We start from the raw sequence: 14158 nt of genomic DNA on the forward strand, positions 1-14158 counted from the left end.
TGATAAAATATTAGGGTGTTTGGGATGCCTCTAAATAAAGAAAGAGGACAGAGCAGGTCTTCCTCAAGCACTTATCTAAAAGCTGCTGTATAAATAACTTATCTAAAGGCATTCATGACTCAAATCATGAATGGTAGCATCAAGATACCAAGAGCAGAAGAGATCAGGGACTAACTATAGCCAGAGACATAGTGATGACCACTGGCAGGTGGCTGCCGTGTTCTGTAACTTAGTAATGCAGACTGCAGTGTGGAGTGGAATATCTGCAGGGTAATGGCAGCATCAAGCACCTCATGGAAATAGCAGTGTCTGTAGGGATCTGACTTGTGCAGGAACCATGTAAGAACAAGGCTGGAGGTTATGGCAACTGGTTTAATAGCCCTGGTGCTTTGCTGAAACCATAATTCTCTCAAACACAACAAGCATCTGGTAGAGCAATAGCCACAACTCACAGGGGAAACAGGGACAGGGGACAAATGACCAAAGAGAATGGACTTGTTTATTGGGTATATTTCAGGGGGTTATTTTCTCTTGGTTTTGTCTGCCTTCAAATATGTGACCATGTTGACCTCTCAAACTGTTTTCTTTCCTATCATCTCTAAGGATTCACATACCGGGTGCTTTCTCTCTGTAAGCTGAGTGCAGAAGTTCACATCGTGGAATGTCAAGGAGAGTCAAAACTATGTTGTACTACTGATACTGTAGTCCTTGCAGCTTCTTTTGAAGTCAGTGTGATAGACAGGGTGGAGTAGTAGAAAGCACCTGAGGGTTGGTGCATGAGAGGAAGCATTCATTCAGCGTGTCTGGAAGTATGAGCCTGGGCTTTCCAGTTTCACTGATCTGTTTTCAGCCATGGGAGCATGGCAAATTTGGGCAACAAGTTTGCGAGTCATCAGAGAAACTCAAATCATTACTCTCCAAAACCACCAATAGAAACCCAGATTAGAATATCTTGTAGTATTTCTTTCCATTTGCAGATCTGACATGTTCTTCCTCAAGATGTCTTCCCGACTTGGTGTCTACGTCTAACCAAGTCTGATACACTGAGGTCTCCTTTGTTCAGCCTATTGAAATTCCAGTATTTCACTTACCATGGCATTTTCTGGCCTTTTTTTTAAGAATGTGTCACTGTCAAATATATTATTTCATTCATTTATTTAGGTTTTTTTTGTTTACCTATTTTCCCAGCCCCTACTAGGATGAAAGTTCCGTAAGGTCCATTTTTTTGGCCTATTTTTGCTGCTTGTGTCTCTAGCACCCCAAATAATGCCCAACACACAGAGTGCAGACATTGATTAAATATTGGTTAACAAATAATGTAATGAAAAGAAATTTTGATGCTCTGAAAAAATTTGTCCCAGCTGAGTGATACAGTGAAGAGAAGCTGTGCACTCTTGTCAATTCTGTTTTATCCCTACAATACTTCTTCCCCCAATCACCGCAATAGCATCTTGGCTTGTCTTTCTGCTTCTGACCCCCTCCATTACAGCACATTCTCCACGGAGGAATTACACAGTGGATGTCTACCCCTGGTCCTCCAAGACATCCCATTGCTCCTTAATTAAACCTGGAGCCCTCTTCCAGCCTATTACCTTTAGGCCTTTGCTGACCTGTGCACACTCTGTCCCTATGATTCTGTCTTCTCCTGCATTTTTGATCTTCTTCACATTCCTTGAGCCTGCTGAGTTGTCCTACCCCATGGTATTGGTACTTGCTCTTCTTTCTGTTGCCAGCAAACCTTGGTATGGCTGGCTTCTGTGTACCAATTATTTCTAAAAACCATTTTATTTCGGATTTTAGCATTTTAAGAATAAAGACATATAATAGAACATGTTAATGTTTTGGATAATAATAGATTTATGCAAGTTTATGAGTAATCATAACTTGAAATCATTTATATTAAAACATCATTTGTGCATTAAAAATGGTCAAATACTCACTATATGATGGGCTGGAGAATTCAACAGAGTACTAAAAAGCTACAGTCATTGTAGTGGGGGAGATAAAAAATTAACTGTCTAGCTTCTAACAAACTAGAGAGATAATTTTGTACTAGCTAGCATTTTTGGCATACTTATACTATGTAAAAGTACTATTTATATTACTAGTATTTTCACATCAGCACTTTGATGTAGATGTAAAGTGCAATCATTTTATAGATATGAAAGCTGTAATACAAATAGTTTAAGTAAATTCTTCAAGATCTCACAAATAGAAAATGGGTATCTGAAGCAAGTGTATTGGGCTTCAAATCTCATGCTGCCTTTGTAAGATAAAAGAAATCTCAAATGGAAAAAGGAGCACAGTGGGGGGCTAAGGTCAATCACGGCTTCTGTGGTCAGAAAAGTCTTTCCAGAGGAGATGATGATAAACTGAATCCAGAAGGACTACTGAGTGCAAAAATACAAATGAGGCTGAGAAAAAATGATTCTTGCTAAAAAGTTAAACGACATCAAAATATATAGAATATAGAGTCTGAAAGAGAGTGGAGGAAAGGGGAGGGGTAAGGCAGAGATACGTGTAATGCAAATAAATTTGATTTAATGCTGCGAATAACCATATAATTAGGTAAGTATTTCAGCAAAGTTCTACGCTGACCACAGGATAAGAAAGATTGGAGCAAGGCAGATCTCTTTCGGAAGACTTGTAATATTCCAGAGAGGGATGATAACGATCCTGAAACAAGAAAATGTATTACAGAAGGAGAGCCATAGAGAGGCTGAATACACATTCAGCAGTCGGAATTCAGTTGGAATTACTGATTGTTTAGATGTGGGAGTGAGCCAGAGGAAGGAATTTAAAATAAAACCTGGGGTTCTGCTTATGAGGATTGAGAGGGATATGCACCATTAAGGAATTGAATAGAAAAAACAAATTTCAAGGGAAATACATTTCCTGTATGATTTTTAATTGTAAGTATCTGAGGAACATTTATATACTCACTAAACCATTTGAAATCCATGTTTGGAACCTAACATAGAGTTTAGTTGTGCTCCTGGAGACAACCGCCTGCTTCAACTCCCAACCTGACCACTTCAAATTTGTGTAACTTTGGGTAATTAGTTAATAATGTCTTTAAGCCTTCGTGTCTTCATCTATCACATTGACAGAGTTACAATAGCATATACTGTCCCCGTGAGAATGGGATGTGATAATCTATGAAAAGCATATGAGACATTGCCCAGAGGTATTTTTTTTTTGGCAGAGGCTATAGGTTTTGTTACTTTTTGTTACTTTCATTGGCACTATAGAAGAAATTTGAACAGATACATAGATTTATGACCTACTAATAATCTATAGATTATTAGTAGGTCAGAGTAGATCACCGGTGATGAATGAGATTATCTAGGAACATTGTATAGAAGAAAAGAGAGGAAACTTAAAGTGAAACCCATGGGAACACCTACATTTAAGAAATAAAAGAATAGAAAACTGAAAATATGCCTGAGAATAATTAGTTTGAGGACTGTTAAGAAGACCAGAGAGAGAGAGAGTGGTGTTTAACAGGCCAAATGAGTTGTTTAAGAAGTGAGTGATTAACCAGTTAGACAATGCAGAGGTATAAAGAAAAATGAGAGTAATTTGTCAATTTAGAGGTAGTAGAAGGATTTCAGTAGAATGGAAGGGTCATAGAAGGGTCAGAAACCAGACTTTAGCAGTTTAGAAATTACTGGGAGGTCTGGAAGTGGAGACAATGAGAACAGATGGATCATCATTTTAAAAATATAAAGGCAGCACACATAATTGTTGGAAAAGGTCATGGAGGAGGTAAGAGGAAAGGGAATCTAAAGGACAGGTAGATGAAACAGTTTTTGGAACTTTCAAAATGTTACGATGGCCTGGTTGATGTCTTGCTACACTCTTTGCAATAAAGCAGTCAATAAAAATGAGACTAAACACACAAATATCAATAGCTGTGCCAGTTTATTCATAATGTATATTGATTGATAGAGAGGAATACCGTGCATTCAAAAGTGCATTCAAAACAGAACGAACTTACTTTTATACAATATGTAAGTTACATTTTAATATCATATGACCAATGTATTTCTCTTTAATCTGAATATATTTCTTCAATAAAGGAACTTTAAGTTTAAAGTCATCAATTCAATTGTGAATCAGAAAAAGCATCATAAATACATCATAAATACAATACATTATTTACGCTGGGCTTCCAGATTTTGGTGGACATTCTGTAGGATATCTAAGATATATAAACCTGCGTGCTACTGATAATGAGGGATTCATTCTGGCAATAGCAGAACTGTTGAGAGAATTATCTAATTTATAAGAATAACTGTTCAGTGGTTTGCAGAGTTTTGGGCATCTATGTAAGATGTAAAGGCCACTGTCATTGTGATTGTGGTTGTAGTGTCTTTGTCATATTTCTTGTTAGGTTTTTGCTATGATCCTGGTTGTTACCTAGCATTTCTCGTTTCCACCCTAGTTGAAAACCCAGTTCTCCTGCCTGCTGATTACAGGAGCCACCTTAAAACTTTTCAACATATTACCTTTCAGTTTTAATCACAGAAAATCAGTGTTCCTTGTTGTGACTAAGAAACCATGGTGATAAACCTGTGGTATTACTTCATCATTGATGAGAAGCTGCATGTTCTTTTCATGGAAATAGTAATATCAGAGGAAATATGAATCCAACAAAACTAAAGGATAGCCATGCATTATAAAAATGCATTACCCCATAGAAATGAAAACTGTTCACACAAAAACCCATACATGAATATTCAGAGCAGCTTTATTTGTAATAACCCCAAATTGAAAATGTCCAAGAAAGCCTTCAGCAGATGAAGGGTTAAATAAACTGGTACCTTTATATTCTGGAATCTTTTATATTACAGAATAATAAACTACTGAAAAACACAACAGCTTTATTTAATCTCCAGGGCATTGCACCTGGATGAAAAAAAAAGTCCCCAAAATGTACATACTCTGTGATTCCATTGTATAATATTCTCGAAATGACAAAATTATGGAAATAGAGAACACATTAATGGTCTTCAGGAATCAGGAACGGGAGGTGAGGCAGAGAAGGAGTTTAACAACAAAAGACAACATGAGGGATCTATGTGATGATGAAAATGTTCTTTTTTTTTTTTATTGTACTTTAAGTTTTAGGGTACATGTGCACATTGTGCAGGTTAGTTACATATGTATACATGTGCCATGCTGGTGCGCTGCACCCACTAACTCGTCATCTAGCATTAGGTATATCTCCAATGCTATCCCTCCCCCCTCCCCCCACCCCACCACAGTCCCCAGAGTGTGATATTCCCCTTCCTGTGTCCATGTGATCTCATTGTTCAATTCCCACCTATGAGTGAGAATATGCGGTGTTTGGTTTTTTGTTCTTGCAATAGTTTACTGAGAATGATGGTTTCCAGTTTCATCCATGTCCCTACAAAGGACATGAACTCATCATTTTTTATGGCTGCATAGTATTCCATGGTGTATATGTGCCACATTTTCTTAATCCAGTCTATCATTGTTGGACATTTGGGTTGGTTCCAAGTCTTTGCTATTGTGAATAATGCCGCAATAAACATACGTGTGCATGTGTCTTTATAGCAGCATGATTTATAGTCATTTGGGTATATACCCAGTAATGGGATGGCTGGGTCAAATGGTATTTCTAGTTCTAGATCCCTGAGGAATCGCCACACTGACTTCCACAATGGTTGAACTAGTTTACAGTCCCACCAACAGTGTAAAAGTGTTCCTATTTCTCCACATCCTCTCCAGCACCTGTTGTTTCCTGACTTTTTAATGATTGCCATTCTAACTGGTGTGAGATGATATCTCATAGTGGTTTTGATTTGCATTTCTCTGATGGCCAGTGATGATGAGCATTTTTTCATGTGATCAATGGAACAGAACAGAGCCCTCAGAAATAACGCCGCATACCTACAACTATCTGATCTTTGACAAACCTGAGAAAAACAAGCAATGGGGAAAGGATTCCCTATTTAATAAATGGTGCTGGGAAAACTGGCTAACCATATGTAGAAAGCTGAAACTGGATCCCTTCCTTACACCTTATACAAAAATCAATTCAAGATGGATTAAAGATTTAAACGTTAGACCTAAAACCATAAAAACCCTAGAAGAAAACCTAGGCATTACCATTCAGGACATAGACGTGGGCAAGGACTTCATGTCCAAAACACCAAAAGCAATGGCAACAAAAGCCAAAATTGACAAATGGGATCTAATTAAACTAAAGAGCTTCTGCACAGCAAAAGAAACTACCATCAGAGTGAACAGGCAACCTACAACATGGGAGAAAAGTTTCGCAACCTACTCATCTGACAAAGGGCTAATATCCAGAATCTACAATGAACTCAAACAAATTTACAAGAAAAAAACAAACAACCCCATCAAAAAGTGGGTGAAGGACATGAACAGACACTTCTCAAAAGAAGACATTTATGCAGCCGAAAATGTTCTTTATCTTTACTGTTTACAAGTCAATACCCTGGTTGTGATATGAATCAAAGTTTTGTGAAACGTTACTGTTGGGAAAATCTAGGTAAAGTTACATAAAATCTCTGGTATTATTTCTTATGACTTCATGGAAATCTTTAATTCTCTCACATCAAAACAGTTTAATGAAAAAGTGCATTAAAAGGTACGTTTTTTTTTTGTTTTTTTTTTTCTGGAATCTTGCTCTGTTGCACAGGCTGGAGAGCAGTGGTGTAATCTTGGCCCACTGCAATTTCTACCTCCCGGGTTCAAGTGATTCTCCTACCTCAGCCTCCCAATTAGCTGGGATTACTAGGCACGCACCACCATGCCTGACTAAGTTTTGTATTTTTAGTAGAGACTGGGTTTTGCCATGTTGGCCAGGCTGGTCACGAACTCCTGACCTCAAGTGATCCACCTGCCTCAGCCTCCCAGAGTGCTGGGATTACAGGTGTGAGCCACTGTGCCCAGTCTGAAAGGTATGAATTTCTTATAGAAAAGACCTGGTCTAAAATGTCTAGAACCTTATTGTTTTGATGTGTGGATTTTCCAAAACAAAATGTGTATCATTAAGTATTATGCAGGGTTGCTTATTGTAATAAGCTTTTGAAAAAAATCACAAACAATTTGAGATACCTTGGTTTCTTTGTGTCCTGGAAAAAATTCAGTTCCTCAATCCCTGGGGGTGAGACAAAGAAAATTTGAAAAATAAATGCCTCATTCAAACTATTACATTCATCCCAGATCAATGACATTTCATCTACTATTTTGAATATCAAAGAGAAATAAAAGCTACACAATTTCCATTCAACAAGTAAATGAAAGAACTACTAACATCTATCAGTTATTCATACCGACACAATCAATGAAGAATAATACTTTGGGAGCCCATTTTGAAAACTTCAGGGATCACTGATTTTATTTTTAAATAGAAATGTTACTTTACTGACGGAAACATCATTTGAAAGAAAAATCTCAAATTGTTGTGTGCATTGGAAACCATTACAGGCTTGACATAATATCTGGTTTTGGTTATTTGATAAAGTAGGAAGCTTCAACTCTGAATCATGATTTTTACAGGAGCTACCTTTCCATTCGATATTCTGATAAAAAATTCTTAAAGACTTTTTTTGTTTACCTAAAATTTGTCAATGTACTTAATATTAGGATCATTTTAAGGGTTTTGCTAAGAATTAAAGATATAATCAACTATATAAGCCTTTCAAGAAAACAATCTTGGATCACCTTCTTAAAATTTGAAAATAAAATTGCTTTTTCAGAAAAAAACAAAAACAAGAACAAAAAAAAAAACTGCAGTATAGTTCTCAGGCTATTAAAAAGAGAATAAATTTTACCTACATGATGCAAGCTATATTTGTTTAAATAAGAAGGTAAATCATCCTTATTTAAAGCCATTTGGGTCATCATTTTATGGAAGACAAATATACACTCCTCTGACCAAACTGCCATTGTGTAAGAAGAGATGAGATAAAGATGTCAGTTCAAACTTCCCAGTGTTAGCAACACTAACCGTCATGTAAGCCAGGATTAAAATCAGTAAATACTTGTCTATTTATTTACAGACAGACTCTGAAGACACCTTGAAATTCTGTAAATAAGTCTGCATATAAATTCTTAAATGACTTTAAATGCAAAATATAAATTCACAATTCTTATGGACACAGATAAGAACAATAAGGAAGAACTTGCTGAGTACGATTCCTTGAACTAGTGACAAAAGAAATAATGGTGTTTGGTTTCCAACTTGGATACCTAGTGGCTTCTTGTATGAGACTAAGGTCCTTTAGCAACGTGACCGATGTGAACCCCAGTTTTGTTTTTTGATTTTGTTTTTTTAGTAACATGGGATTTATAGTCAGTGTTTTCTAAATTGTACATATTAAAATGAAAAGTCAAAACCGATCAAATGATATTGTTAAAAGAGACAAATGATGGTACAGCACTGTTAAAGAGTACGATTCCAGTTTTATTTAAAAACACCAACTGTAACTGTGTAAATATACATCATCCATGCTTTTCAGGGTTTAGGGTCAAATGTGTCATGATGTATCAAAACATTAATAATGGTTATCTTTGTAGACTGAGATTGTGCAAAATCAATTATATAGCTCTCTTACATTTGTAATAAAACATGTAATACACATGACTACCAGAGAGGGAATATATGTTATCAAGACATAGTCTTCAGCTTCCCTTCAAGATATCAAAATAAAATGTGTAGGATTTATTTAGTGCTTTTATTTGCAAAATTTAGAATTTTCTTCTTTTTTGGAAGAAAGAAATAACTATATGAAAATGAAAAAAGAAAAAGACATAACAATACTAATATGAATTTTGATCATGTGAATAAATAACTTTGTAATTATCTAGGTCTAGATTTATTTCATTTTCATTCTGTGTGAAGTGAAGTAGCAAATGAACAGGGAAATTTTATGTAAATTATAACTACAAACATGTAAAAGTCCCAGTGTGGGAGTACATATCTTGGAAAGAAAATGTGTGAACACACACACACACATGCATGCAGACACAAGCCTTTATACAGCATTCTCAAAGAGAATCAAGACTCTATTTGATTAAGAAATACTGAGGAAATACAGAATATCAAATGGGGTATATATATATATATATATATATATATATATATATATGCACTCATTTTCAGATTTTTAACTCTACTAGTCCTAATCAGGATATCTGATAGATCCTTTTTCATGTTCTATTCAGTGTCACCATTTTCTTTTCTTTTGTTATTCCAATACGAAAGCATCCTAGCTATCAGGATGCAAAATAGACACTAGTTGAGATTTTTGTCATGATGATGTGACTGTTGTGTCATAAGACAAAATAAATGTCAGTGGCAAATTAGAGTGAAAGTATTATTGTCCAAAGAGCTATCTCCAAAGTGTTTCCTATGAATTGGCTCACATGACACCCCAAACAAGATATGGAGTGGGAGTAGCAATAGCAGTAGTTTATTATTTTCATCAGTATTTTGTATTAAATATGTGCATGTCTTATCTAACAAAGGTTGTCTTTGCATGGCTGTAAAGATTCTAACAATACAACATATCATTATATTGACTATTATACTCTGTCATCAGTAATAAAAAAGTTGAATAAAAGCCAATTATGGTAAAAAAAAAAACACTAAAGAAGACCAAACAGCATGTAATCAATATGGGAGAGATCAGACAAAACTGGCTCCACTACTTTGACCAGAGTTAGCAGCAGATATCTGGAGTAGGAAGTATCCTTTGCTTATGATTTTCCTCAAAGTGAGCTGCAATACAGCGACTCCATTTACTTAACAGTAGTAATCAGATGTTTGAAAGAGACAATAGTCCAGGTTTAAGCGTAGCAAATATGTCTCTTTTGTAAATGAAATATTTAAAACAGAAAACAAAGCACAGGTCAGTAGACTAGAATTTACATCTCAGTTTGAACACTAAAATCTGGTATAGCACTGAGCAATCACTGATACCTGCACCCAGCATTCTCACTGTTTATGGAAGATGAAACAGAAAAGTCTCAAAATAATGTTTGAAATCTAAAATGTTATGACCCTTTTAAGGCACTAACGTATCCCTGTGTTACTGTTTTTTTTTCTAGTATGGAATACAAACATCTTTAAAAATGTAATTTTCATGCAATGAGAATGTATTTTAAAGTAATCATTGTAATAATAAGTATATCACAGTTTAAAATGACTGGAAGAGACGACATTAGCTTTTGCTTTTACTATCACTGTATTTCTAGAGAAGTAAAAATTTAAAAATAACAATAAAATCTGCAATTCATTTACATAAATCTTCCTCAATAAAGAAATATGACCACAACTGTTTCTAATTCAGTAAAGATACAACATCCAAAATTTCTCTGTGTTATGCAGTACAATTAGGTTCATTCAGATAAAAAGAAAAATTTAGAGATTTTTTAAAAAAGTATTATATTTTATGAAATGTTTGTAGATATTACATCAGTCTTTTAGCTTATTTATTAATATTTGGTAATTAAGGGATTAAGCTGGATATTTCTTTTGAACAAGTTTGCATCTCTCCAAATAAGCTATGGAGTAAGAATTCATTGGCAAAATTGTCTAGTCCAGATTTTGATCAGCTCTTTCACACTATACTGGAAGATCACCTTAGAATTACAATCCTGAATGGGAATGCCTAGCTTGACATTAGCTTTATTTCAGTGAAACAGATTCTGGCACAAAAGAAAACAGCAGGTTAAAAAGACATAAGGAACACAGCTATGAGGGAAGTTTTATGCTTAAAGGTAAAGAGGAGTGGTTTGAATTTCTAAAAGATAAAAGAATAAGCCACTTAGATCTTTCAGAGTACTGAAATAGTCATTTTTTACGTAAAAGCAAAACTCGCAGCTTCAGAGAGTTCAGAGAACTTCTTCCTGGAGCTACTGATCCAGCCACACCAGGGATTGTCAGCTATTGCAGGGCACTCTGTCAGCTGTCAGGAAATAAATCTCTCTATCAGACGGAAGCAGTCTGAGTTGGAGCAAGTCCTCCACAGCATGTCACCCCGGGAGCGCTCAACATGCTTGGCGAACAAGGGCTCCCTGTTGTACTCTGATTTATGTATATCTGTAAAGTTACTCCTGATAGGGTAAAAGGAGGAGACTGATCAAGAGTCTGTCACACTCGAAATGCTTTCATACTGTTGCCACCCCACTCAACCTGTCGTCCATGGAAGCAAGGAAACAAAAGCACTGCAGACCGTTCTCAGCAGCCCTTTCCTTTCCTCGGTGACCCTTTCACAGACCGTTACCAGAACCACCACTCACTTCTTGTGCTAGTAGAGAACAGCAAGTAGTTATATTTGTGTTTTAAAGGTTGTCCTGTTAATAGATTGTCCTTTCACACATGCCATGTACCTTATTATCTGAAAATTTACTGAATGCTCACCTTGCTGACAAATTTCACACATGCCTAAGCATGCAACTGGATTTCCCCACATGATCATTTCCATGGTTCATTTCCTCATAGCTCAGGAGTGATCAGATTTTGTCTTCATTTTATTATGTTTTCAATCCAGTGAAGTCCAAATTATATCGTATTTTTGCTAGTATTAATGGGTAAAATTGTGGATATTACTGTTTGGTTGGTGTTGAAATTTTGTCTATCATGTGTAATTTACTGAATGATAAGGATTTGAAGAAAATGAAAAGCCGGGAATACTGAGTTTTATAACATGATACTTGCAAGTAAATTTAAGATACACATCAGGGCTTTGTTTTGCAAGAAGAAGTATAAAAAACACCACAGAAAGGCATTAACTTTCGACTTTAAATTGCAGAACTCAAAGGTATATATGTATACATTTTGGAGAGTTTTGTTGTTGCTGTTAATAGACAATATATTGAAGTGAGTAGCCCAGTTACAGAAGAGCATTATTTGATTAGGGCTTTAAACAAAGCAAGAGGGGTTGTAGGATTTCAGAATTACTGAAAAAGATAATGATGGCTGACAATGTTGAAGAAGACTTGTTTTATGTAAGAGAATTATGTAGACCTGGTGTAATTGTGAATAATTTTATAGCTGATTTTTTTGTTTGCACCCAGAGTTAACAATATATTTTTAAACTTACTTTGTAAACAAGTGCTTCATATTGCAGTTATGTGTATAGATAGATTAGATAGATAGATAGATGATAGATGATCGATAGATAGACAGATAGATTTTCCTTAACCTTCTCAAGAGATTATATGCCTAGAGAACAGAACTGTGCATTGTATCCCATTGTAAGTAACTAATCACTTACAATATTGCTAGAATTGGGTATCTCTTCAGTAAACATTGATTGTAAAAATAATCCTAGTAATCCATAGGATTTACCCCATTATTTGTTTTAAACTTTATGCACATATAATTTATTTTTGTCTTTGTATTAATATACCTGGTTTCTCCCTGCCACCACTGCCTTGCCTGTGTTTTATTTATCTTTTGTGTTATAGTACTTTTTCTAGTAGCAATCCCAATATTCTTTACTGAAGGGATAATTTCTTTCTAACTTCACTATGACTTCCATTTTACCCTGCTCAAGTAGAGAGATTCAAATTATATCATTTATTTCCACTGTATAGTCGTTGGATAGATTGCGTGAGATCCACTGGAAATTATGACATGCAGACACTTAAAAATTTTTTAAACATAGTTTTAAATAGTTCCTTGTTTAAAAAATATTTCCCCTTAAATCTTCCAGAAAATGCTAGAATTATGGAAAGAGGAAAACATAATTTAGCCTATCGGATGTAGAAACTGGAAATCTTGTTTTTATTTCCATTTCTGACATAATGTGTTTTGATTGCTACCATAAAAATGTATGATAACATATATTCACAACTAAAGCCGCCATTGAATCCCATCCATGGAAGAAAGGGAAGTAGAAATGTTTCTTGAATTCGAAAGAGGTTGTGATTGTGACCTTAAGCAACATTTATTTGGAATGCAACAGTGATAAGAGAACCAAAGAGGTGCTAGTGAAGAGCAGAGTTTTGCAGTATGCATGTCCACAGGAATTACAGGAAGGCAGAGCCGACCTGGCTGCTTCCTTACACAGTACCATCATGTCACTGTGGACCTGATGGTAACAATTGCTTTGTAATGAAAATTAAAAAGTAATAGATATGTTTGTTGGATATGTGGTCTCGACATCTTCCAGATAGTGTATTAAAACTCTGTGATTAATTTTATGCAGATTTTTTTAATTTTTTACTTTTCTAAAGTTGATTTTTCAAATTTTTAAATGCCTGATATCATGTAGAAAAACTGGCTCATTGAGCAGACTTCCTGTCCACATGCTTCCAATGCTCATTCAGAGGTAAAGAAACAAGCAGCATAGTATAAAAACAAAAACTACTTTGGATATAGTAAGTTTAAAAATAAATTGTGAGCCAACACAGCTGGTCCATTAAAATTATCGGTAAGCCATGTTAATGTATTTTAAATAAGCTATGAGGATAAATAGCGAAAACATTCTCTAAATGAGCAAAGATTTTAGTAATGAATATTTTATTAATAAAATTATAGCTCTTTCAGTGAAGTTTTGGATAGTTTACTTTTTAAAAAGTGGTAGGTAGTATCATGTGTTAACTCAGCTATGTATATTTTCTTGCATATTTTTCAATCACTCTTAAGATTTTCATTCATTTGGTTATTCTTTTAAATTAATTCTACCACCTAAGTGATACAGCGCTAATATAGTATTTTTCTTTCTGTAACAGGTTTGATTAGTGTGGTGTATTTGCTAGTATAATTCATATTTGACATGTAAATAAGCTAATATTTGTGCTTTAACACCAGTTTCAATTTGAAAGTAAAACTAGAAATGTTAATAGCTTTTAGTGTAAGCAATTAAAAATAAGTAATATATATAATCCTGGAATCTGTTTAAGTTTCCCATAACTAAAGCAGTTTTGTTATGCAGAGTTTGTTGATTCATTATGTGGATACTTTGCATTAAGATAACATTTGCTTTGGGAGGTAATTGTTTTGATATCCTTCCACTAACTACAGTTGATAAGAGGTACGCCTTAAAAAAAATAACAATTCCTAGTGAAATAACCCATATTATAAATGTTTGAACTATCCTTAATATGGACACATTCAAGAAAATAAAATAATTAGTGGTAGTAGAGT

General features: G+C 34.9%; 1 long non-coding RNA gene across 1 annotated transcript in view; it reads left to right on the forward strand.

The window, feature by feature from the left end:
- The window catches only part of LOC124900623 (uncharacterized), a 49265-nt gene that overhangs the window by 23611 nt on the left and 11496 nt on the right, over positions 1 to 14158 (forward strand). The window lies entirely within an intron of this gene.

The sequence above is a fragment of the Homo sapiens genome, chromosome 4 (genome assembly GCF_000001405.40).
Source record: "Homo sapiens chromosome 4, GRCh38.p14 Primary Assembly".
Classification (NCBI taxonomy): domain Eukaryota; kingdom Metazoa; phylum Chordata; class Mammalia; order Primates; family Hominidae; genus Homo; species Homo sapiens.